The sequence below is a fragment of the Homo sapiens genome, chromosome 15, assembly GCF_000001405.40.
Source record: "Homo sapiens chromosome 15, GRCh38.p14 Primary Assembly".
Taxonomy (NCBI): Eukaryota; Metazoa; Chordata; class Mammalia; order Primates; family Hominidae; genus Homo; species Homo sapiens.
In genome coordinates this window covers 84,818,111-84,844,350 of record NC_000015.10, presented here as the reverse complement: position 1 = coordinate 84,844,350, position 26,240 = coordinate 84,818,111, and the positions used below count along the sequence as shown (strand labels likewise).

Here is a 26,240-nt window from a genome sequence, read left to right as displayed (position 1 = left end):
ACTGCAACCTCTGCTTCCCAGGTTTAAGTGATTCTCGTGCCTCAGCCTCCCAAGTAGTTGAAATTACAGGCATGCACCACCACACCTGGCTAATTTTTGTTTTTTGTTTTTTTGGGTTTTTTTGAGATGGAGCCTCACTCTGTCACCCAGGCTGGAGTGCAGTGGTGCAATCTCAGCTCACCACAACCTCCGCCTCCCAGGTTCAAGCAATTATCTGCCTCAGCCTCCCGAATAGCTGGGATTACAGGCATCCGCCACCACGCCCAGGTAATTTTTGTATTGTTAGTAGAGACAGGGTTTCACCATCTTGGCCACGCTGGTCTTGAACTCCTGAGCTTGTTATCCACCCACCTTAGCTTCCCAAAGTGCTGGGATTACAGGCATGAGCCACCATGCCTGGCCTAATTCTTATATTTTTAGTAGAGACAGGGTTTCACCACATTGGCCAGGCTGGTCTTGAACTCCTGGCTTCAAGTGATCTGCCCACCTCAGCCTCCTAAAGTACTGCGATTACAAGCGTGAGCCACTGTGCCCGGCAACCTGTGGGCCAATTTCTATCTTCTGTGGACTTATCTTCATTTCATGCTGAATATTATATTTGAAATACTTTTTAAAAATAATTTCAGGCTTAAGATGATGCTGTCATCCTCCAGATATGATTTTTGTTTGCTTCTGCCAGGTGCCTGAGGGCACTAGGTATCTTGAACCACCTAATTCTAATTTCAGGGATTGAGATATTTCTTAGTTATCCATGTAACTTGGAGCTCGTCAGTAACTCAATACCGTGAGACTAATTTACTTGATTCCCCTTTCTCCTAGGGTACAAACCTTCAGAGTCCCAACCCAAAACCCAGGGGGCTTACAAGGGCTCCCACTCTTGAGACCATGGGCTCTAATTTTTGTCTCCTTAGTCTCATGAGACTATCTAAACTATTGCTCACTGCAACCTCCACCTCCCAGGTTCTAGCAATTCTCCTGCCTCAGCCACCCAAGTGGTCAGAATTACAGGCACGTGCCACCACACCCGGCTAATTTTTTGTATTTTTAGTAAAGATGGGGTTTCACCATGTTGGCCAAGCTGGTCTCAAACTCCTAACCTCAAGTGAGCCACCTGCTTCGGCCTTCCAAAGTGCTGGGATTACAGGCATGAGCCACTGTACCCAGCCTAACCATGAGGTTTTTGTTGGAGCAGTGGAACCAACACAGACAACTTCTCAGGTACCACACTGCCTGAGCCCCTCCTCCTACCTTTGGGAGGCAAGGAAGAGGGGGCTGGTACTTCCTCCTCTGGCCCTACCAGGAGGATGCCACCATCTGGTATTGGGTTCCTCACCATTTAGGCAGAGAAGCCAGATTTGCACACTCACTTGGCCACCAGCCTGGTCCCTTCCTAAATGAGCTATGAGGGCCTATGAGAGCCATCTCTTCCAAAAGTCCCTGCTGTCCAGCCTGTGGGCTGTCAGGCATGTGCAGCAGCCCCACAAAGCCTTCCCCGGGCCACTGTGAACTTACCATTCCAGTGGCCAAAACTACAGGAGACCAGGCATGAGGGGGACAAGAGTCAGGAACAGGTTCCAGAAAGTCTGGTTTTAGGTCCTTGAGGTTTGTTCCACTCCAAAGCCCTCTGAACTACTGTTCCTACAGTCTAACCTTAGCACCCATGAAATAAAACCATTTCCCATGGTCACCCTTAAAACTAGTCTTTCCCTCCTTCCCACCATGAAAGTTCTCTCCATGGGAAAGCCCCTCCTGTTCTCCACAAAGCATCCTTTCCCCTTTGCCCTCTGCCAGGTGCTGTATCAGCTTGTCCCTCATGTGCTTCCCTTCACTGCTCCGAGAAACCACCTGTCCTCTGTCCCTACCCCTGGGAAACACTGCTTTCCTCCTGTTCCCCCATGAAGCCATTCCCGATCTATAACTGCTTCCTCTATCCTAAGAAACAGTCTCATCTTAGTTCTCACCAAAACCAGAGGATGTCTCCACTTAAGGTTATCAGATTTAGCAAAAAGAAATACTGGGCTGGGCACGGCGGCTCACGCCTGTAATCCCAACATTTTGGGAGGCTGAGGTGGACAGATCACTTGAGGTCAAGAGTTCAAGATCAGCCTGGTCAACACAGCAAAACCCTGTCTCTACTAAAAATACAAAAATTAGCTGAGCATGGTGCCTCACACCTGTAATTCCAACTACTTTGGAGGCTGAGACACAAGAACTGCTTGAACCCGGGAGCCGGAGGCTGCAGTGAGCTGAGATCGCACCACTGTACTGCACTCCAGCCTGGGCAACTCCATCTCAAAAAACAAACAAACAAATAAACAAACCAAAGAAAGAAAGAAATACCGACACCCAGTTAAATTGGGACTTCAAATAAATAACCAGTATTTGTCTCAGTGTAAATATGTTCTATCTATTTTATCCACCCCAGCCCCACTCTTGAAATACTTTTCCTTCTGCCACTCATAAGAAACACTGTCTTCTTTCTGTCCCACTATAAAACACTCTGTCTCCCAAAACCACTGTGAAATAATGCCCCCCAAGCCCCTGAAACATAAAGAAATAACCAAAAGGGACGAATTGTTTCCTTCCTGCCCTCTCAATCCCACCCCTCAAGCTCCTTAACGCTGCCACCCATCTGCCTCTTTGGGGAGTGGACACTCCACTACCCCTGTCTCCACACAAAACATAATCTTTTCTCTGTCAGCTACCTGTTCCCTAGAAGATGATGGCACTCCTGTTACCAAGTAAAAACACTTTGCCTCTGTTTCCCACCATAGTCATATCTGATCCCAACTGCCACTTACTTAGTTCTTAGAGGGCACCAGATTCTTACAACAGCCCTACGAAGTAGGTATTGTTATGATTATTCTTCCAGTTTTACAACTTGCTCTAGATCACGCCATGTTAAGGCAGTCAGATTTGCATATAGGTATGCCTGACTCCAGAACCTTAGATAAACCCAGATTTAACCAGCATTTCCTGGACATTCAGCTTTGTTAAAAATCGAATGAGTAGCCAAGTTGCCACCTGCTGTACACTACAGCGCACACCTGCTCCTCCGTCTCCCCCATGAAACACTGTTGCCTCAGCAAAGCCCACAGAAAGCTCTCCACTGGCCCCCTTTCCCACCCCAGAGAACATTATCTTCTTCCATCTCCCTCCGGGGCACAGTCCCCTTGGCTGTGAACTCCTACACTCCCAGAAGAGGGTCACAGTCAGGCTGTGCTGCCCACATGCCTGGCATCTGGAAACTGGCTGGGGCAAAGGGCATGCCTGTGGTCCCTGTAGCTGGCACTCCAGTCCCTCCCCACCCCTTTCTATAAATAGCCCACTGCTCACTGGCTGCCCAGCAGTTGCAGCAAGAGTTTCCATGAGGTCAGCTTCCCAGAGCGGCCTCCAGGCACCCAACACCCACACTTACCTCTCCTGGAGTCCTGTGGCCTGCTTGCCCCTGCAACGTGCTGTCCCGGGTGCCATGTCTCCGCCGGGCAGGGGGCGTCGGCACCTGCACAGAGGCCTGAGGTGGGGCCTTTCCTAAGCTCTGGGCCCCGCATTCTGGAGCTTGACTCAGAGAAGAAATGGGCTTGCTGTCAGTGGTGGCCTCTCCTTTGGGCTTTGGAGGGGCAAATCTCTTTCTGTTGAAAGGCCTAGTCGGCTGGGGGGTCAAGGAGTGTGTGGGCTGGCCAGGAGCGCCAGGCACCCCCTCGCTTCTAGCCCTGAGGGGTGCCTTCCCCTTGGGACTCTCCCCAGGCGCCCGGACACTCAGGGTCTGGGGTCCCTCTTCCCCAAGAGGCCTGACTGCCTGGGTGTTCTCCAGGTACATGTCCTTCAAGGAGAAATACACTTCCTGGCCTGGGCCTGGGCCAGGGGCCTTCTGGGCCTTGTCTGGAGTGCCCACAGCAGAGGCTGGCTTCCTGGTACTATCTGTGCCAGAGGACCCAGGCCCCCGTGCAGCCCTGCCTCTGGGCTGGGTCTGAACCTGCTCCACGCCCACGGGCCCCTGAGTCCCACAGGAGTCAGGCTCGTCTGAGCTGGGGATGCAGTTTTCTGAAGAACGGCGGCTTTGGGCTGCCTTCTCTAACTCTGGCTTCCGCAGGCCTTGCTTGGATTCCTCATCTTTCTTTTTCTTCTTGGCCCCACTCTCCTCTTTGAGGGCTCTCTGAGGCCCCAGCTCCATGGCGTCACAGATGTATGTCAGCAAGCCATGCTCTCCGTCCTCTCCATTCTCGGGGGCAGCCTCCCCGTTGGTGGTCACTTCTCCAGAAGCAAAACTGTTGATCAGGCCCAAACCTGAGTGCTGAGCAGTCTCAGTCTCTCCCTCCTGCCAAGCCGCCAGGGTCCCACCCTCAGGCTCCCTGGTAGGGACCGAGGGGCCCGGCGCTTGAGCCCCGCTCAATCGCCGCTTTCGCTGGAAGCGGTCGGGGCTGAGCTTGCGCAGAGTGTCGACCTCCCCAGGCACCGCCTTCTCGTGCTTCCAGCTCTGCTCGATCTCGCGCAGCTTTGCCGCAGCCTTGCGCTTCAACTTGGCGAACCAGCGCTGGTGGATCTTGTACTCAGTCATGGTGCCCACCTCCAGGACCCCTGAGCAGGACACAATGCCCTTGCTGTTCTGGGCAGAGGCCTGGTAGATGGCGGCATCTTCTTCTCGACACCTAGAGGTAGGAGCGGGAGGTGCCACCTCTCCCCTCCTGGGAGGTGAGAGCCCCCACACCCCCCAGCCAGAGCCGTTCAGAGCCGGGCACACTTCCCCCTCCCTACAGCAAGCCCTGCCGTGTGCTACGCCCCATCTCACACGTCACAACATACAACACCCTCCATTACAGCTGAGGGAACTGAGGCTGGCAAAAAGGTGGCGGCTGACCAAGGCCATACTGTCCCAGGAGGGATTAGACTTGGGGCCCAGGAGAGCTCCCTTCAGAAGCAGGTGACCAACACAGCCCCTCGTGAAGTCATGATGATACAGTTGCTTTTTTTGGCCGCTGACCTCATGGAAAATATTTCTGTAGGTCAGGACCTCTGCTGGCTGCACCAGCTCTTTGACTGTCAGGAATACTCCCACTCTGGCCTTAGGAGCTCCCAGACACCGGAAGGCAGATGTGGTTCACCAGGTGGTTCAACCACACAGCAGAATCCTGCCCTCCATCCCCAGAGAGTGCCTGGGCATCTCCATCCAGACTGCTCCATTTCTGAGGGCAGGACCCCAGCCAGAGGGCCCTCGGGAGGGCAGAGAGAGCAAAACAGGCCCTTCTCCCTCACCTGTACAGCTGCAGTGTGTGGCGGTTGCCCTGATGAGTGATCTCATATTTTGGCAAGCCACAGTAGCGGTCCAGCTCCGTATCATCCTTGTACCAGGTCACCTCTGGCTCTGGGTATCCTGAGAAAGAAGCAGGAGACTGGGTTACAGCAAGGCCAGTTCCAAAATAATGGGAAGAGGCCGGGCACGGTGGCTCACGCCTGTAATCCCAGCACTTTGGGAGGCTGAGGCAGGCAGATCACCTGAGGTCAGGAGTTTAAGACCAGCCTGGTCAACATGGTAAAACCCAGTCTCTACTAAAACTACAAAAAAATTACCCGGACGTGGTGGCGGGCTCCTGTAATCCCAGCTGCTTGAGAGGCTGAGGCAGGAGAATCGCTTGAACCCAGGAGTCCGAGGTTGCAGTGAGCCAAGATCTTGCCACTGCACTCTAGCCTAGGCGATAGTGAGACTCCATCTCAATAATAATAATAATAATAATAATAATAATAATAATAATGGGAGGAGAGAACACGAGGCCGTGGCTTCCCAGACCACCTGAAGAGACTGGACAGGACCACCTGCCCCAGGCTTGCTGGAAGAACCGAGCCACTGTATGATAGCTCAGCTTATTTTTAGAAGCTGGTCCCTGTCAAAGCTGAAAACAATTCCCCTTCAGCAATAGGAAGGAAAATATGGAGGAGAAACTTTCTAGCTTCCTAATGGGAAGGGAGACAAGGAGTTTCCAGAAATCCTTGGCTACTGGGAATAAGCTTCCTTCTATAGTGGCCCATTCTACTTCCTCAACTGCAGTAAGGGCTCTATCCTCAGGGGTCTCCTCCCTTATGTCCCACCATGATCATCCCTTCTAAGAGCCCTCCTCCTTTCATTTCAGGTTCCTGAGCTGTTAGGATTATTTGAAAACATGGCTAAAGCATCTATCTGTCCACCCGTTCATTCATTTACCTATTATCCATCTGTCCACACATCTACACCTTCCTACCCACCCTGTCACTGCAGTGACACCGACTGAGGTGTCTGCCCAGCCCCTTCTCTGGGCACTTCCAGCCCACCCACAGGAGGAGCTCCCAGCTGTTACTGTCACGTGTCCCTTACCTCTCTGGCCATAGTGGATTGGTCCAGTAACGGACACCAGATCAGCTAATCTAGCTAATTCTTTGACCAGGTATTTGGGAATTAGGACCTAGAGACAGTCTACCATTGTATCTGAAAAATTTAGCTTCAAAAGAGTAGAGCAGCCATGTTCTGCCACATGGACTGAGAAGCAAACACTACAGTGAGAGATGGAAAAAGGAAGTTGATGTTCAGGATTGAATAAGAGGTGGAAGACAGAGAGAGTTGCAAGATGCTTCCAAGTACTAGTTCCATTCCTTGCCTGGGCACAGCTGCCCTCCTCTTGTCAATTCCATAAGAAGCCCCTCTGGACTTACCAATGAATCCTGCTTCATTTCTTAAGCTGACTGATCTGCGTTACTTGCTTGATATGAGACTGCTAACATACATTCACTCAAAGATATATATTAAGTACATATGACTGGCAAGTTAGGGTTATGAGGACACAGAAGCACATAAGACACGGTCTCTGCTCTCCAGGAGCTTACTGTGTGATAGAAAAGGTGAGACATGGCATGCACCCGCACAAGGCAGCAATGCACCTAGCATCTGCACAGGCGCTCTGCCTTTCCTACTGCCTACGGATGCACCACGCTCCTAAGTAAAGCGGCCCCTCACTGGATCCCACCTGCTCGTGCCTAATCAAGGACATTTCTCCAGCAATTATTCCTGCTCGCTCCTGCATCATCAGACTTTTCCTCTCTGTTACATCTTTCTCATCAGCGTACAAGCCTGCTCTACTGTGTCCTTCTTTAAAAAGAAATTCCTTTGACCCCACAGCCTCCTCCAGCCCCTGCTCTCATTTCTCTGCTCTCTGCTTTACAGAAAAATTCTTTGAAAGAGCTGCCTGTACTCACTATCTTCATTTTCCTTCCTCAAATCAGACTTTATAGCCTCTCTTGCACCAGAATTGCTCTTGTCAGTCACCCATGACTTGTACATTGCCAAATCCAATTCCTATGCCCATCTGCCTAACCCATCAGCATCACCAACCCCACTTCCTGAAACCTTTGCTTCACTTGCTTCTAGGACACCGCTCTTTCTGGCTGCTCCTCCTACTTCACTGGCCACTTTTCCTGAGCTCTTCATCAGTCCTCCCCTCCCACCTAGACTTGCCCCAAAGCTCAGGCCCCAGAACCATTTTCCATTCTCTATCCATACTCACAACCCAGGAGGTCCTAATTCTGTCCTGTGGCTTTCAAATATATGTATGCTCATGGACTCCCAAATTTCTATCTCCAGCCCAGTCTTCTACCCTGGACGTTATTTCTGACTGCATATCTGGCATTTCCACTTGAAGGTCCAAGAGGTATCAAGCTTACCATGTCCCATCCAAGCTCCTTAGTCCGCCCTCCAAGCCAGTTCCCACAAATCTCAGTAAATAGCAACTTCATCCCTATATTTGGCTCAGGCCAAAACCTAGAGGCAATGCTGTATTCCTTTACTTGCCTCACCTCTACTCCATCAGGCAATCTTGCTGGCCCTCCCTTAGAATATATCTAGAATCTGATCACTCCTTGCCATTCCCCACCAACAGCCTGGTCCACATTCCCATCATCTCACACCTCAATTTCTTTAATAACCTCCTCACTGATCTTGCTGCTTGGCTCTATTCAGCCCATTCTCAGCAGAAAAGACAGAGTGATCCTTTTAAAATAATGTCAGATCATGGTACCCCTTTGTTCAAAACACCCCAATTAGCTCCATTTCACGCAGCCCTCATGATCTGGGCCCTGTGACCATGCTGGCCCCACCTCCCTCCACTCTCCCCCAGCTTGATGCACCCACCCATGTGGTCCTGCTGGCTTGCCTCACACACCACAGGAGCACCAGGCTTTGACTCTTGCAGGGCTCTGTTACTTCCCTAGAGAGGCCTTCCCTTCCACCCCGTGTAAAGCAGCAATGCTGTCTCCCAGGCACTTGCTATTCCTCTTACTACATTTATTTTTCTTCATAGAACACATTGCTACCTGACATATTATACACTTAGGAGTGTGTTGGTTTACGTCCATCCTTTCCATGACAAATATCAGCTCCATGACAGCAGGGACTTATCTGTGTTATTCACTGCTGTGTCCCCAGTTCCTAGAATAGTCCCTGGTATGGAATCAACACTCATCAAATATTTATAGATGAATAAATGAAGCAATGCACTAAGTGCTTAGGGCTGCAGAGAAGGGAGCAATCACCTCTGGCTAGGGACTCAGGAAAGCTTTTGTAGTGAGTGGCACCTGAACTCAACTTGGAGGGTGGGCAGGATTTCAGGAAAGATGGGTTCAGTCCCTCTGATCTCCCGCTTCCCCTCAGCTCTAACGTCACCTGCACTTCCCCTTCACAGCACTAATCACAATACTGTCATTGACTATTTCCTTGCCTATCTCTCCTGCTAGACTTAGGTCCCATGTGGGTAGAAACTGTATCTTGTTCACTGCTATATCCCCACCACCTAAGACAGTGCCTGACACTGTGGTGTGGTAATTACTTAAAAGAAATCTGTGGGACGATAAGTAAATGAGTAAGTAGGGTGAACACACAAGGTGGATGGGAAGGGCATGCCTGACAAGGGAACCCCAACATGAGAGGGGGAGGGTGACAAGCAAAGGGCATGCTGGGGAACTGTGTACAGGAGCAGGGAGCAGGGGAGGCGAGGCTGCAGCAGCGTCGGCCAGGAACAAACTCTGGGCAGCCCTGGCTGTAAAGCGAGCCCCATGTTTCCACTGTGAGCTAAACCCCCTGGTTACATCACTGTGTGTGTGACCAGAGCCAGCACAGGTGTCCTCACCATCCTGTGAGATGATCTCATCCCTACAAGGACCCAGCTCAGAGCCTCCCTGCCCCATGACCTGCCCAGCACAGCCTCAGTCTCCAGGGCATCTGAGTCCAGTCAAATGCTTGGGCAAGAGGGCAGGGGTGGGGCAAGGAGGGAGGAGCTGAATGGACCCCACAGCCCCAGGGCTGGGGCCTCAGCCTCCATGCCACCCTCTGGTGCTGCCTCTACACAGTGGGGGCCAACCCGACAGCTTAGGGCTTCATAGCCACAATGAGCTTTGGAAGCAAATTTATTTGGGAGAACACATTGCCTTGAGCCCTGAATAATGTGAACTATATCCTAAAATGCATAAAAGCAGGAGGGCTCCGGGTCCTTCACTCCCAGCTGTGCATTTGTGCATGTCCACAGGCAGGTGTGCACACACTTCTGGCCCTGGCCAGGACAGCCCATGGCGGCACTTGAGCCTGTGGCCTTCCCTCAGCCCCTTCACACCCTGTGGCCTCTGTTTCACAGCCAGCAGACCTGACTCAAGAACCCAGCTTGGAAACTTGCAGCCTTGTCCCAACCATTCCCAGTTCACAGAAGCTCCGATTCAAAAGAATAATGAATGGAAATTTAAAGTTTTCAAAAAGCTTTCAAATACATAGAATTTCATTTGACCCTCAGAACACTCCTGTGCAAATGATTGCCAACATTAATGAAGACTTACTATGTGCCAGATACTAAGCTGAATACTTCTCATGTATTATCTCATCTAATCCTCACAAAAATCCTATGAGGAATGTACTCTGCTACTAATCTCCAATTTAAGGACGAGGAAATCCCAGCTCATGAAATTAAAGCTCTTGTCCAAAGTTATCTAGCTAGCAAGTAGAGAGCCAGAATTCAAATCTCTCTCTTTTATAACACAGGCTGGTATTTTAATTCCTATTTTATACAAAAGGAAAATGAGGCTCAAAGAAGCTAAGTAACACCCAGGGTCACACAGCTGGCAAATGGCAAAGCCCTAGGTTTCCTTTTCCTTTCTCCAGTACTCTTTCCACTGGGGTTTCTGGGACCAATATATAAGTTTTTGCTTCCAACAGTCATTATATTAGACTTACTTCTCTAAAAAAAGTTTCTTCAGGAACATGGTCCTGTTTCAGAAGACTCAATCCCTTTGTGCAACTTGCCCACTGTTGATGCTTCCTCCTTCCATCCCAATATGAACATGTGCACCCACATGCAAACACACACACACACACACACACACACACACAACACAGAATCTACAACAGAGCTGAGGAGAGTGGAGGAGGGAAGCCCCTGTGCTGGAGACAGTAGGCTGCCTCAAGGAAGACAGTAGCACTCTGGCCAGAGGGGTCCCTGGGGGAGACAGGAGCTAGCGGAGGCCCACTATCTTCCCACAAGCCTACTGTGAGTTGGAAGAACCCCAGGGCCTTGCCTGTCTTCTCTGTGACCCCAAGGGCTTCCATCACAGGTCAGCCAGCAGGAGCACTGGCGCAGATGACTCTCCCTCACCTGGACTAAGTTCTGACCACCAGGAAAGCATCACCTCTGCCTGACAGGGCCCTGGTGGGCTGACTCATCCTAGCCTTGTTTAGGAAATGCTATCAGCAGTGAGGAAGGAAGAGTGCACGTATGGTCACTCTGGAGACAAGCCAAGAGCAGAACAGCAGCCTCACAGAGAGGCCAGTCTCAGCCAGAGATCCATCCACCTTCCACCTCTCCAGACTAGAGAGCTCCCGTGTCTAACCCTGACTCTTTAGTTTGCAGAACCTTCTGCATTGCCCCTCCTCTCCTTCCTTTCCCTCTCCTACAGCCTGCATTTTCTCCTTGCTAATTAGAAAAGGCTTGTTTGAGGTGTACTATGGTGATCATAGAGACCTCTTTCCTAATGTGCTACACAAAACTCAGGTAAGCTGAGATTCTGAATGTATGTGAGGATGAGTGGGGGCAGGAAAGGAGAAGATCAACAATGGACTAAGGTATGGATATCAGAGATAGCCAGAGCCCCAGAAACCTTACAGACTCCATTGGTGGCGTTGTAGGTCTCAGCACAGTAAGTGCTATGATATACACAGTAGGTAGGTTGTGTGATATACAACCATATATCATAAAATAAATGTCTGAGCAGCCCTGCCTGGTCATCATGAGATGTGGCAGAAAAGCTTGCTCCTTTGGATTGGGCTTGAAACAGGGAACAGCTTACTTCCTTGATGACACTGGGAGTATTTGATAAAATACCCCATGATTCTATAAGCCAGACTCATGTCTGACATCTCCACATTGCTCTTAAACTCCATGGCTACAAAGAACAGAATGGAAAAGGAGAGGAGGGAGAGCCATCCCTGACACCTGCCTCTCTCAAGTGGTCCCAGGTCCCCACTGCAGCCGCTGTTACCAAGGTACCAAAGCTGTGGCTGAAATGAACAGGCAATATGGCAAGTGGAAAAGGTACTGGTTTTGTCATCAGCACAGTCAAGCTTCACTGTGGTCATTTGATATGTACTGAGCATCTTTGTGCCAGCTCTGGAGAGGCATGATGTGTCAGGTGTATGCCCTGTGCTTGTAGATGTCACGATCTTGTTGGAGAGAGAGAGATGTGTAAACAAAAAAACTATGTGGTGGAGGATGGAGCAAGAGCTCTCCTGGAAACACTGGAGATGACCTCCCAGAGGGCAAGCCCCTTGAAAGATGAGAAGGAATTTGCCAGGCAGAAAAAGAGTAGGCTTCTAGGTAAAAAGGCAGAATGAACATGCCATCTATCTTCATACCCTCCCTCAAACTCACTAAACTGCCCTGAAAAGACTTTTTAATCAACATATGTAAAAGCACAAAGATGAAGTGAACAGGCAAGGAGAGTAATAGGAGCAACAAAATTTTGAAAGTTAGAAAGCAGATGGACAAGTGGAAACTGACTTAGCAGACTCAAGACAGCTCAACCCTAAGCTAGCAGTGGAGAAAACTGAGAACTATCCTTTCGACACCAGAAAATCCCCAAAGGGCCTAAGAATTGGCAATTTGGTACCTCTGGAACTGGGAGAAAGAGGAAGGAGGAAAGGTTCAAAGATGCTTAAAAAATAAATCTTTGGAACCCTTCAACCATTCTATCTCACTGGATGACTGCTCCTTCCCCACCACAGCCAAAGATGAAGTTTATTATTTGGAAATGTAAAAATCTGCCCTGAGAGTAAGCCAGCATAACTGAGGGCATGACTATTCTATGAAAAATAGAAAAATGTAATAACCATATATCATAAAATAAATGTCTTATGCTGAGAGCCCACCCAACCCTCTGATCTGCATAACTCCCAGAAAACCTTTCGCTAGGAAACCTAGCAAGTTCAAGAGGAAGGAACTAAAGAAACTTACTTGGCAGTTCCCAACAGTGGCTACCTAGGTCACCCTACAGTAAACAGCCAAGTTTTCAGGCCCCTCCTCCTTGCTCAGAACTTCTGATCAGCTTTTAAGTCTCCTACTCTTGCTCATTATCTGACAGCCAAAGATTTCTAGATATGGGAGGAAAGCCTACAATCGAAGATTAATGACAAAATTAAATTAAACAGAGAAAAAGCAAGACAGAAGAAAAACTATGCAAGGAAAAGGAAGCTTTTAGAAAACTATCATTAATAAGCATCTCAGAGAGCTAAGAAAAGATACTACATTCATGAAAAGTGCAGGATGCTACAGAAAATGACAAAAATTAAAACCCTTGGAAATTAAAATTCAGTAGAAGAGTTGAAAGATAAAACTAAGGAAATCTCCCAGAAAGTAGAGCAAAAGACAAATAGATGAAAGGGGAATAAAGGATAAGAAAATAAAAGTCCACGACCAGGGGAACAGCTATCCAAACAGGAGTTTGTAAAGTAAGACGACAGAAAACAGGAGGATAAAATCAAATTTCCCAGAACTAAAGGCTCTCCGTTTCCAACTGAAAGCATCTAAGCATGTTCCAGGGTGAAGAGACCCATATCGAAATACATCATTATGAAATACCAGAACACTCTTACAAGCTTCCAGAGAGAAAAACTGGTCACATGCAAGGAATTAGGATCAAACTGTCTTCTCACTCTGAAAAGCAACACTGGAAGCAAAAAGATAATGGAACAATGTCTAAAATTCTGAAGGGAAATTATTTTCAGCTTATAATTCTATACCCAGCCAAATTCGCAAGAAAAAGTAAAGTAGAAAAAAAGAGGCCGGGCACAGTGACTCATGCCTACTATAATCCCAGCACTTTGGGAGGCCAAGGTGGGAGGATTGCTTGAGCCCAGGAGTTTGAGACCAGCCTGGCAACATAGTAGGACTTAGTCTCTATCACACACACACACATACACACACACACAAAATAAGTTGGGTGTGGTGGCACATGCCTGTGGTCCCAGCTACTCAGGAGGCTGAGGCAGGAGGATCACCTGAGCCGGGGCGGTTGAGGCTGCAGTGATCTGTGATCATGCCACTGCACTCCAGCCGGGGTGACAGAGGAAATCTTGCCTCAAAAAACAAACCAACCAAACCAACAAACAAACAAAAACATTTTCAGACACAAGGAATCCAACATCTACTTCCCATGTACTCTTTCTAGAAAGCTGCCAAAATAAGAATGTAAATCAAGAAAGAAAAAAATGTAGAATACAAAAAGCAGAAAGTTACCACAGAAGAGAGGTAAACCAAATCTAGAGGATGGTAACTGTGTACCAGATGCAGAGAAACGAAGGCACATTAGACCAGAGGGACTCAAGGGAGAGCAAGGTCCAGACCTTGCCATCACTATGCCCTCTGCACCATCTTCAGGACCTGATGAAACCACTGGGGCAGTATTCAATAACGCAAAAAAATAAACCAAGAAAGGAAGACATGAGATCCAGGAAGCTGAATTAAATCCACAGAAAAGCAAAGGGAAGAGCCAGGATAACAGCTGTGTATCAGGCCCTAAAAGCCTAGCAGTTCAGATAAAAGAAGAATGGAGAGCTCCAAGAGGAATATCTCCAAGGAAAGTAACTGCCAGATTACTGATGTCATTGACCTTGCAGAATATCGTATTAAGAGGCTATTAGGAGGTATAAGAAAAATTAGCAACAGATACAAAAAAAAGAAACAAATGAAAAACTATGGAAAGTACTAACCTCAGGAAAAACAAAAGAAAAAATACAAGCATAGTATGCTACAATGTTCAGTTATGAATAATATTGTATAGGCATAATAAGGTAAACAGTAAATGTTGATTAAAGCAAAAATTATGATATAACTGAAGCAGGATAGTTTTAGAAAACTATCATTAATAAGAGTCAAGGAAGTAACCATGTCCTCAGGACACAGCAACCATCCGGACTATACAGTCAACACAATAAGCCCCAGCATGAGCATTCTAAAGTTCTTTCAAGCAAAGCTATCTCCAGTAGGGAATTCCCATGTAGAGAGCAGGAGCATTTTGATTTTACCTGTCCTCAAACTCACCCTTTGCTCATTGTAATAGTAAAAAGCACACCCCTGGGTGGAGATTTAAGATGCATGTCTCATTAGCATGGGTGTGGTGGCACGCGCCTGTAGTCCCAGATACTCACGATGTATAAACAGCATGTACAGCTACTGCGCATGTGCACCCAGAGGACCACCCAGAACATGCTTAGGAGCAACACCGCTTCCTACCTCCTCATGAATAATCATGTAAGACTTACAGAAACGGAGTCGCCCTAGGTACCAGTCTTTGCTGTCTCATCCTCACGAGAAGCCCATGCTGAATCTTCTCTCTCTCAGGGTGTCCTGTCTATTCTGCACCTAACTTTTACAGTATTCTTTTTCCTTTGCAATAAATTGTTCTATCTCCTTTGCTGTGTGTCTTTTGTTTCAAGTTTTTAAAACTAAGAAGATAAGAACCAAAGTTCCACAACTGCTGTCAACATAATTATATGAAGAAGATAAGTTCAGGGAAACAGAGAAAATGATGGTATAAAAGAGCTAATTCCTTATCTACCATAACAGGAAGACAATAGAGAACATCTAAAACTGAAGAATTTCACGTAGTACTCAGCATGATGGAAATGTATACATGCCAGAAGAAACAGCTAAAAGCTGAAAACAGTTGCTTCTGGGAAGACAAATTGAGAGGGGTGAACTGCTGTATTTTGAAATATGCCTTTTAGTATAATTTGAAGTCTTAATTATGTGCATATATTTATTTGACAAAGTAAAATTTAATTTTCTTTAAAAAGAAGGATTAAGGACTTTCTAAATAGAGAAAATGAGATGTGCAAAAGCATGAAGCTGTGAAAGAACCGGGTTTTTCTAGGAAACTGTAAGTGCCACAGTAACACAGGAGATGCAGGCGGGAAGCAGCATCAGATGCCGGAGAGCAAAAGCAGTGTCTCCCTCACTAGTGCTGCGGACTTTGGCAACGCATCAGCCTCTCTCAGCTTCCTCCTTGGTAAAATTTGACTAAAAATAGCACTTACTTCATAGGGATTTGTAAGAATGCAATGACAATGGAAACAGACAACTTGCGAAATTCACCATACGCCATACAAAGGTATGGGATGCACACCTATGTCGCTCGGAGCAGAGAGTGTTCTCAGTCTGCAGCTCAGAGGGTTGAGTAAGGGTGAGAACTGCCCAAGTGAGAAGCTGTTTACTGGCTGGGGTAATCAAGTCCGCCAGAATTCACAGCTGGAAACCACGAATGACCTTGACTTACAGAAACAACAGGCTCTCCAGAGGGAGCCTGGGCCTGGGATCTAATAGCTGCACAGCTGGGAGGGGTGGGTACCCATTTGTGGGTCCTGCGGGCCCTGAGGCTGGTCAGGTTGGAGTCTCTACTGGGTGATCTGGGGGAGAGGCAATGTCTGGAACCACCCTCCCAGCACTCCCACCCATTATCTTCCCCTTCCAAGGAGTATCACTCTGCTTCCTATTCTGCCAAACGGTTGCTTCAAATTCCATCACGAAGCTCAGTGAAATGCAAGTAACAGTCAGTTTCTAACTCTTATGTGGTACTTACTGTACATAAGGTACTACTCCAAACACTTTGCATGTATTAACTCATTCAGTCTCAAATAACCCTATGAAGTGCATCCTATCATTATCCCCACTTTACAGATGAGGCAGCTGAGAGGTTATATAACGTGCTCAGTAACATCATTGGAAAGGGGATGAGCCAGGACTCCAAGCCAGGCAGTCTGCCTCCAGGGTCTGTAGTCAGAATCACCACATGCAATTCTCCTCTCAGGCTTGAGACTCCCAACCTTCAAATTACTCAACTATAACATGGGGATACTCAGGGAGATGGCCTCAAAGATCTCTTTCCATTGGAGTACTTCTTTTCTTGCAACAAATAAGGCCATTAGTCATGGATGTATCCCTGAGGGTCAGGAACCTTCACTGAGGACAGGTTCTGAAGAAGAGTAGGGTATATATGTGGCTCCAGAATGGGGGAAGCAAGGGGCACCAGCCCACACAGGGATGTTAAACTAGAGAGAAAGCTCAGAAAGTAAATGTCACCTCACGTAGTTTTGTGCACACAGCCCGCCACCCCACCATTCCTGTCCTCACAGCCTCCTTGGACCCTGCTCTGTGCAGAGGCCCTGGCATGGAGCATACAGACAGCATCCTTACCTGTGACGATGCAGGTGAACCTGACGTCGCTGTCCTCGGACACAGACCGGGACTTGAGCGTGGTCTCAAATAGCGGCTGGGTCTCCTCTGTGAGCTGAGCAATGATGGAGCAGAAGGTGCTCCTAAGAGAGGCAAAGAGCTATTCAGAGCTGGCCTTCCCCACAACAAACAGCACAGCCTGGCCTGTCCAAGGCAGCTTCCGTCTTACCATGCCTGCCCATCTTCCTGTGGCCAGAGCTGCAGCACCCCGGCAAGTCTTTCTTCAAGGCAGCTTGTGCCTCTTGGCCAGGCTGGGGCCAGGTATCAAGGGGTTGAATGGAATCCTGGCCCAGACCCATTACAATAGGCAAGCTACTGACCATGGGCCAGGCTCCTGAGCATGCCAGTCTACAAGCCCAGGTGTCCCATCCCATCATTGTTTGAGGGGCCTTACTTCACCCTGCACCTTTCATCTCCAGGGACACTGGTGCATGAGGGAGACACACAGATAAGTAGGTCAAGCCTCAGAGATGGAGCCCCCAGCATAGCAGAGCCTTCATTCATGCCAAGAGGGGAAGGCCAGCCAACCCTCAGTGATTCAAGGGTCCTAAGAGCACAGGAGCCTCTCCTAGAGCTTGGGCTCAGAAAAAAAGCTCCTACATTTGTGAGTGCAGACCCACAATGGACAAAGAATAAGCTGGCCAATGCTAGGGGTCTAGACCCAAGGGGGGACTCTAATTCATAAGGGTATCAGAAAGGAGAGACCCAGCCGAAATGGGGCTGGGAAGCAGCCTTGGAAAGCCAGCTGTGGCTCCCCTGCTCCATCCCTGGATACCACATGCTGAAGTGAAACATGGTTGGCTGCTCCAGGACCAACCAGCAGGAGTGCCAAACCACAAACGGATCCACCCCTGCAAAAGCCAGAACTTTTAGTTCCCTTCTCCAGTCCATCTCCCAGATTTCAGGGGCATCAGTAAGCACTGAGTCCAGTACAAACTCACCAACAATGCTCAGGCTTACAGTCTTCTCCTTCCTGGGCCCAGGAAGCAAACTACCATGCCAAACCCTTTCAAGGGCCAGCAGAGACACAGTGCGTTCCTAGGTGTGAAGCGCCACCTGAAGGCAGGTTGTGTGGTGCACAAGCCGTGCCCGGCCCTCCCTCCCCAGGCACACATCCCATTGTGAGCGGCAGAGAGGACTGTGAGGGGGCAAAGGGAAGAGAAGCAGGAGAAACTGTAGTGAGAAAGACACATCATTCAAAGGTGCCTTTCCCTGTGCCTTAGAGGAAGGGATGGTCACCCAAGGGCAATGTTTGTCTGTCCATGGCCTCTCTGCCAGGGGCTAAGAGAGTCTGTGGAAGCAGAAGCAAACAGGATCTAGAACCCTCCACTTTGTGGGGAGGGATTCCACATTCGATGTATCTTTTCTGTGAATATTATTCTAGACTTGAGTTTGAGGAGAAGGGTTGTACCCCAGAGAATATCTGGAATCAAGTAAGACTTCTGAACTGATGGGGTTCCTGCTGTGGTTTCACCACAGGAATGTAGATACCTGGGCATTCATGGAGTTGACAAGGGCCCTCCCCCACAAAGATCACCCATAAAGGGGATCCCAATCTCACATACCTGAACATTTGAGCTGGGTCTGCAGTTAGACATGTTCTGTAACACTCCCTACAACCTTCCCTTGCCTACAACTCATCTGTGCAATAAGCTTCTTTTCCTTTTCTTCTTAAGCCACTCAGAAATAGAGGGTCCTCAGGGCCTAGGCTATTAACTCCCTGAACACTCAGGAAGTGTTAATATCTGAAAACGTTTCTTGCTGCTATCATACTAACAGCAATTTCTGATTTGGGGAAATATCAAATCTCAATCAACACTTTCCAGAAACCACCAGGCTAAACATAATCCTACTTCCATGAGTCTGCAATTAATTCAAACCATCCCTAATTATGTCCTCCCTGCATAATTTGAATCCTATCTCATCCATGACCTTGAGCCTGGATCCAATATTCAGCTTAAGCTCCTAGGTATGAAGCCGCCTGGACAAGTCTAAGGAAATCATTTCAGCTACTGGATAAGTGAGACAACAGGGAAACTATGTTTTAAGAAAATTTGCAGAGACAAATGCTCATGCTAGATAATGAAAAACAGGCCAGGTGCAGTGGGTCACGCCTGTAATCCCAGCACTTTGGGAGGCTGAGGCTGGCGGATCACGAGGTCAAGAGATCGAGACCAGCCTGGCCAATGTGGTGAAACCCCGTCTCTACTAAAAATACAAAAATTAGCCAGGCGTGGTGGCAGGCGCCTGTAGTCCCAGCTACTCGGGAGGCTGAGGCAGGAGAATCACTTGAACCTGGCAGGCAGAGGTTGCAGTGAGCCGAGATCACGCCACTGCACTCCAGCCTGGTGACAGAGAGAGATGCCTCAAAAAAAAAATAATAATAAAATAAAAACAAGTAGTTATTTTACTTCACCATTCTTTTTGAATGGAAAAGAACATATCTTCTCAAACTTTCCACATTAGGTCCTAAGCTGTATTATAAAAAAATGTTTACATTAGAAAATAAGTAACAGCTGAAAGGGTGGCTAGCTGAAAGCCTTCTCTTTCAGGGAAGTGGGTTTGGGGTACATTTGGAGGCACAGGGAGAGTCACTGTATATACTGTCATGTTCTGCTGAATGTCATACAGCTTCTCGTTGCCACAAGCTTTCTGTCCCCGTCCTCCAAACCATTCGAATGTGGGATGGACTCTGAGTGTGCTGCACCCTATACCCTGGAAAGCCAGGAAGTCCACACATCTGGAAATGGTCTTGTCCAACCCTGACAAGTCCTTCCAACTCCATGACTTCACAAGGATATCACAGACTAATCATATGTCTCTAAAGAACACCAGAATCATTGGTTTTCATGATGTTCAGTGGAACCTAACCTCGCCCTTAGGTAAGGTTTGGTTTGCCCAGGTCGTCTCCTGTCAACGCTTACCACACTCCACTTGGAATTAGTTGTGATATCCTCAGTTCCACCCATGAGCCACACAGAACAAAGTCTCCTCAGTGTTCATCCCCATCAAGGACCATGGACATAGTAGTTGCTAATCATGTCTGTAAACATTAGCTATTTAGAAACCAGTTAGCTATTCTGAAATCTTTTTCTGTGTGAAGAAACTGTAGCTAGCTCTCCCCAAAACTATCAGAGTCTGGGATGAGGCCCAAGTGGTGGGAAGTAGCCAGGAAATGTTCCCATTTTGATTGTAACAGTCAGTTCAGCCAAGGGTAAAGAGCTGTCCTCAGTTCAGGAGGCAAGAAGACAGTCATTCACCCAGCAAACCTGGACCATGAGCCTGCCCAGACCTTGCCCTGACTCTGCAGCAGATTCAGAGAATAAGCTATGCAGGAATACATTAACGTGGTATTCTCTGATCTCACAGAGTTCACAGTCTTCAGGGATGGGGAGGAACCAAAGGAAAGGAAAATTCAGAGAAAGAGGAGGTAAAAGGAGAACTTAAATGACTGCAGAAAAAAATTTTAAAAGGCAGTTACCATGGTTAGAAGAAGATAGACAATAAGGTATCACACCTAGGTATGTGGTTACAAAAAACATGAAAACCTAGAATTGGGGCCAGGCACAGTGGCTTACGCCTGTAATCCCAGCACTTTAGGAAGCCAAGGCAGGAGGATCCCTTGGAGCCAGGAGTTCAAGACCAGGGAACACAGTGAGACTCTGTCTCTACAAGAAAATTTTTAAAAATTAGCCAGGCATCATGGTGCATGCCTGTAGTCCCCGCTACTCAGAAGGCTGAGGCAGGAGGATCCCTTGAGGCCAGGAGTTCAAGGCTACAGGGAGCCATTGCACTCCAGCCTGGGCAACATGACAGAGCAAGACCCTGTCCCTAAGAAATAAAAAACCTAGGATGGGGAAGAGGTGGGTCATGTGACATGACTCATGGCTCTCTGTTCTGTTCCCATGGTGTCTCCTAGGGACACAGAGATGTCATTGCAGGCATCTCAGAGACCCCTGCCCATATTTCTATTCCTGAGATCCTGTGCCCATCTCAAATGGCCCATGCAAGCATCAACTCTGGCCCCCTGTGAGAGCCATGTTCACCTGAGTACCTTCTTGCACTCTCCCCACCCACCCTCCAGCTCTCCCCTCACCCCATGCAGCCTGGTTAGTGCACGAGCAGACACTCAGTGGCCCCTCAATGCCCAGACCCAAGGAAAAAGCAGTCAGAGAAATGTAGTGCAATATGCATTTACCTTCCAGAGCTGGGGTGAGACAACCGGTTGCTTGATAAGCTAAGCAAAAACAGCAAATGGAATCATTAGGCCAAAAAAGCAAGAAGGAAGTAGGCGAAATCAACAGTCGCAAACTATTAATCGGCCACCATCTGGGGCCCAGAAGCCTTTCTATTAAAAGGGACCAGCTGTCTTAGTTGGCCTGCTCCATTTAGCAACTGGCCTGACCACCGGACACCAATGTATCTGAAACCAAGAGCTCATTAAATGCAGCAGAGTCCAGGAAAATGGTTAGGCAGGAAGGAGGCCCTTTGGGGCTGTGCTTTGAGAAAGGTGTGTCCCAGGCATTTGGGTCACTGCCCCCAAGAGGGAGGCTTACAGCTGCCTGGCATGTTTCCCCACCCCACAGCACACCAGCCTGGGGGCAAGCTCCTGCTTCAATTCTTGGCCTTTGGGAGAAAAGAGCCCCATTCCTGGAAATCCCCTGAGAGGCTAGGAGAGACAGGTGGCTTGGAGAACACCCATCATTAATATGTTAAAGTATGGTTAAAGAGGCCACACAAGGCAAACCAGCTGGGAGAGTGAAAAAGAGAAAAACAAGGCAGTTAATTCAGCAGGAGCTGGGAGGCACCCAGCTCCATGGTCCACACAAGGCCCATTCTGCCTGAGGCCCCAATCATCTCTCTTGCCTGGGGCAGCTAGGAAAGGCCACTGTGTAGGGCACTAGGATGAGGACCCACACAGGACCGCCCCTTAGTGGAGTCTAGCCCACTTACTATGAGCCAACTGTTCCCTCTCCCTCCTCCTTTCCTGATACAAAAATCTCCAGTGGGGACCTGGATCCCAGCTCCTTGAGAGATGTCAGAGGTCACCCCATCCACACTCCCTTCGGCTGTCCCTATCATGAGAAGAGCTCTCCCTTCCTTCCCAGCAGCCCAGCCTGTTCAATGGTGCTCACGGTCTATGTCTCTAACCATAAGAAAGCTCTATGAGGATCCCATCTCTTTATAACCACAACACCAAACCCATCCTTTTCCCTAAAACCTGGCTTCACCCCTAACCCCGGGCTCCTGGGTTGGTAGATACCTCCAGCATTCTCCCAAACTCCTAAGCTCAAAACCTGCCATCTTGGACTACTTCTTCTCCAACCCCAAATCCAGTCCGCACAATTCTTGGCCCTTGTTTCTCCCTTCCTCTCTGCTCTTGTTGTTGCACTACAGTCTAGACCCTCATGGCTCCACATTTGATGACCACCTCAGCCCCCTCTCCTTAACCCCTCATATAACCCACTTCTCTAACAAAATGCTGCAGTCCCCCAGTGTAGAGGACGCTGAGTCTCCACTCCTTAACTGGGTTGGTAGGGCCCTCCCTGATCTACTCACACTCCCGCTGCAACCAGATTCCCTCTACTTCCCAATGCTCCGGCGCCACCACAGCCAGGCCTGTCCCTTATCAGCATGAACAGTCCTTCCTGACCCCTGAGCCTTCCCTTTTGTCCTCCCTGTTTGGAAAGTCCTTCCTCCCTCCTACTGCTCAACTAAATCCTGCCCATCCAGCCTTCAAACCTAGTTCTTGTAGCTTCTGTGGCTCCTAGTGCAGTGCTGCACAGACGATGGGTATTTAACTGCTGTTCTATAGAAGGGAGAGAGAGAGAGAGGAAGAAAAAGAAAGAGGAGGAAAGTACAGTGGGGGACCTGGGGGAGGGAGAGAGGTCAGGGGAGAGAAAGGCATTTTTCAAGCAGGAAGGGTGCTGCCCCCGAGAGGGAGCTGCTGCTCCAGAAAAGATGGAAAGGAGCGTGCTAGAGTGCAGCTGCCTCTGCTCAGAGCTTTAAAAATCCTCTGGAGGCCGCGTGGGCAGAACCTCCCATGGTTCCAAGGCACTGGCCAACTCCATCCTTTCCTGACCATAAATTTCATTTGTCCCTCTCTTTCAGGATTGGGAGATTTCTTCTTCTTTGGGTCTGGACTTCTTCCCTGGGAAGGAGAGGGGGAGAGTTAGCTTTCTAATTCAGAGAGGAAAATGACAAGTTCCACCTGCATGTTGGTCAAGAAGTGAGCTGGGACAGAGGACCCCTCCCCCAGCTCTGCTGCTCCTGGACCAACCGCCCTGCCCTCTCTAGGCCTCGCCCTTACATTGTTAGTCAGGTCAGGAGAAACCCTGAACTAATGGAGGCACCTGGTCTTCAGAAGGTGGGAGACCTGCCTGTGCCCTGCTGGCTGGGCCACAGCTAGGCTCAGGGCTGTCACCCAGGCAGGGGAGCTCCCCATTTACTGCCTCTGAGGGGGAGCTGAATGAGAGGCATCAAACATTGGGGCAGAAAAGCTTTAAAGAGTTCTTCGTGCCACCTTCATCTCACAAAATGGGAATTCATACATAAGCAGAATAGAAGAAAAAAAAAGGGTTGGAGGTGGGTTGGAATTCAGGGCCCAGAAAGGAAAGGTCTCCTCATAAAGGAGTGAAGTTAGGACTGAGCACAGTGGCTCATGCCTATAATCCCAACACTTTGTGGGGCTGAGGTAAGAGGATCGCTGGAGCCCAGGAGTTCAAGATCAACCTCGGTGATATAGCAAGACCCCATCTTTATAAAAAATAAATAATTAAAATCTAAACCGGGCATGGTGGCTCATGCCTGTAATCCCAGCACTTTGGGAGGCCGAGGCAGGCAGTTCACCTGAGGTCAGGAGTTCAAGACCAGCCTGGCCAACAGGATGAAATCCCGTCTCTGCTAAAAATACAAAAATTAGCCGGGTGCGGTGGCAGGCGTCTGTAATCTCAGACTACTCGGGAGGTTGAGGCAGGAAGATCACTTGAACCTGGGAGGCGGAGGTTGCAGTGAACAGAGATCACGCCACTGCACTCCAGCCTGGGTGTCAGAGCAAGACTCCATCTCAAAAAAAAAACACACTAAAATAATAAATACATAAAAGAGTGAAGTAGGCTACGGAAAACTAGAACTGACCACGAAAGCTGGGGGCCTCCATCCCTCCTGGCTTTCATCTAGTCTGGGACATAAAAGGCCTTTGGACAGTCCTGGCCTGATACCTCAGGTTCCCTAAAAGCCCTAGACAGCCTGGCTGACCCATGCTGAACAGCAGAGCTTGTTTCAAAGCTGTCTGTAGTAACATCATAGGTTCTGTGACTTCTCTGAGCCCACCTGGACCAGGGCCTCCAAGAATCCAGGGGGCAGGGGTTTCTGGAACTTCTGAGTGTCCCATAAAAGCTAATTAATCATAACTGCTTCAAAAAAAAAATCAAAACTGCTTCTACTCAATTTTGGCCCCTTAACTTCTCTAGCCTACCCACATCTCACTGTTCTATGGGGGTGAGGTCCTAGATGCCGGGTGACCTGGGGGCTGGGCCTACAGTTTGGTGGGACTATCTGCATGTGAGACCTCTGACCCCAGTGGGCATTGGAAATATTCTTGCACCGACATGGACTGGAAACCCTTTCAGAGCTGTGGGACAGAGAGAGGTGCATAGGGAGATAGGTTCTGGGCCATCCACCAAGGCCTCTGGTGTCCATCAGCTCAGCTGTCCATCAGTTCCCAGGGGTAGCCCCTCCTCACAAGGGTCCATGAGAATGATGCCTGGAGAGCTCCATGACACATCTTTGTGAAGGTAGACCCAGAAGATGTTGGAGCCAAGAGTGAGTGGGGACAGAACTTGCCTCTCAGTCAGGACTCTGGCATAGTCAGGGCTCAGCTGGGCTGGAGCCAACATAGCTGGCAAAATTCTCGAGGGACTGTCTTTCTCCCTATCTCTAGGGAGCTCTCCCCACCCCCACAGGCAGTGAGGCTGTTCTGAGGGACAGCAGACAGTACGGTGGCTCCCTCCAACACAGGTCAGGCCTTACTAGAGAAGCAGGAACTGCCTCGCCTCCTCCACTCCCCACTGCAGCCCCAGTCACATTCTCCCCACTTTGGCCAAAGGCTTTTCCAGATGCCTGATAAATCTGGCTGTCCTTGTCTCTCAGAACCTCTAGGGGTCTGTGGCTAGCCAGCAGGAGCAGTAAAAAACTCTGCAGGGGCAAAACACAGCCCAAAGTCCAAAGCTTTCTCCCACTCCTGCTGTCCTGCCCCCTCCAGATACTTGATGAAAGAGACTCCTTTTAAGAACATTCCCATTTAGGTCCAAAGGGACTTAAGCCAGCCACTTCTATCCTGCCTCTAGCTCTCAGGCTGGCACAAGCTTTGTGCTCATGAGGTGTACAATTAACATTTATCTATCATACAACTGCTCAGCCAGGCAGCAGCACTATGTCCATTCTCCAGCCCTTTTCCTAAAAGCCCAGATCCCCTGCCCTCCCCATTCTGCCTGGTTTTCAAGGCACTCTTTCCTCCCTTCCTTCATTGCTGCTGTCTCCAAGAAGGACCCTGGTTCCGCCTCTTCTGTTTGTTCCACTGGTATTGACAAAGGCCAAACACAGGAGGCAAAGCCCAGACAAGTCACTGTGACAAATGTGAGGCTCCCACAAGGGAGTCAGCTTCTCTAAGGACTGGAATAAATGTCCAAATTTCATTCTGGTTTATCTGTAGAGCCAGGAGTAAGAAAAAGGGGTATTCTTTCCTGGCAGCCAGGGGCCTTGTTGAGTCTGACTCAGTCACTAACATCAGTCCTCAGCCCTGCCCCAGACATGTGACACCATTTGACGAGTTTTATGCAGAAACCGGTTCCGGTTACATTTGAACTTTCCCAACTCCAAGGTCAGTAGGACTCAGCCAATTCACGAGGAAGTGCCCAGGACTTTTCCTGAATGTCCTCGATGCCTGTTTTTATGCTGTTTTAGGAATGGAGAACAAGAGGTCTCTGGACAGCCTCTTGGAGGAATGGCCGTTTTCTGCATAATACACAAGTCAAGTTCTCAGGCTATGAAACAACCACTATCTCAACACATTTCCCTTTGGAAAACAGACTCCAGAAGTGAAGGGAAACTGAGCTGCCCACAGGGGGCAGGAAGTGTCTGTCTCCATGGCAATGCGCCTGTCCACGTGTGCCTGTGTGCCTTTGATTTCCTGGATGCCTGTCTATTGTCTTTGTGTCTTTATATCTGTGGGTGGCCTAGCTGCTAAAACAAAGCTTCCACACCTCTTGAACTCTTGGAAGACCAGTGAAGGGCTCATCAGTTCCACACCTCCCTTGGCATTTCACTTCCCCAAACTGGACAGGGCACTTGGCTCCCTCAGAGCTGCAAGTCCTTAATTCCCAACATCTCCAGACAGTACCTCATCCCACCCCCTATCTCACCAGCCCCCACTCAGGTCCTGGGGAGGACCCAAGT

General features: G+C 48.9%; 1 protein-coding gene across 1 annotated transcript in view, besides 4 other annotated features; it reads right to left on the bottom strand.

Moving 5' to 3' along the window:
- Window positions 1–26,240, bottom strand: part of ALPK3 (alpha kinase 3) — a 56,124-nt gene that overhangs the window by 29,129 nt on the left and 755 nt on the right. The window contains exons 2-5 of the mRNA NM_020778.5: window positions 20,983–21,021; window positions 16,746–16,867; window positions 5,254–5,371; window positions 3,419–4,649 (exon numbers count right to left, since the gene is read on the bottom strand). Coding sequence (NP_065829.4) covers window positions 3,419–4,649; window positions 5,254–5,371; window positions 16,746–16,867; window positions 20,983–21,021 — 1,510 coding nt within the window. The remainder of the gene's footprint in view (window positions 1–3,418; window positions 4,650–5,253; window positions 5,372–16,745; window positions 16,868–20,982; window positions 21,022–26,240) is intronic.
- Window positions 3,095–3,588: an enhancer, noted in NCBI's record as "ENSG00000136383_15:83184998-83185491 (NCBI36/hg18 genome assembly) insert fragment". NCBI's record gives its function as "drives selective reporter gene expression in differentiated C2C12 myotubes {active_cell/tissue: C2C12}" and the evidence as "EXISTENCE:reporter gene assay evidence [ECO:0000049][PMID:22144875]".
- Window positions 16,890–17,390: an enhancer, noted in NCBI's record as "H3K4me1 hESC enhancer chr15:85370192-85370692 (GRCh37/hg19 assembly coordinates)". NCBI's record gives its function as "activates a minimal SCP1, AML or CMV promoter by ChIP-STARR-seq in naive H9 embryonic stem cells {active_cell/tissue: H9 hESC(naive)}" and the evidence as "EXISTENCE:reporter gene assay evidence [ECO:0000049][PMID:30033119]".
- Window positions 24,178–24,707: an enhancer, noted in NCBI's record as "H3K27ac hESC enhancer chr15:85362875-85363404 (GRCh37/hg19 assembly coordinates)". NCBI's record gives its function as "activates a minimal SCP1, AML or CMV promoter by ChIP-STARR-seq in naive and primed H9 embryonic stem cells {active_cell/tissue: H9 hESC(naive and primed)}" and the evidence as "EXISTENCE:reporter gene assay evidence [ECO:0000049][PMID:30033119]".
- Window positions 24,708–25,239: an enhancer, noted in NCBI's record as "H3K27ac hESC enhancer chr15:85362343-85362874 (GRCh37/hg19 assembly coordinates)". NCBI's record gives its function as "activates a minimal SCP1, AML or CMV promoter by ChIP-STARR-seq in primed H9 embryonic stem cells {active_cell/tissue: H9 hESC(primed)}" and the evidence as "EXISTENCE:reporter gene assay evidence [ECO:0000049][PMID:30033119]".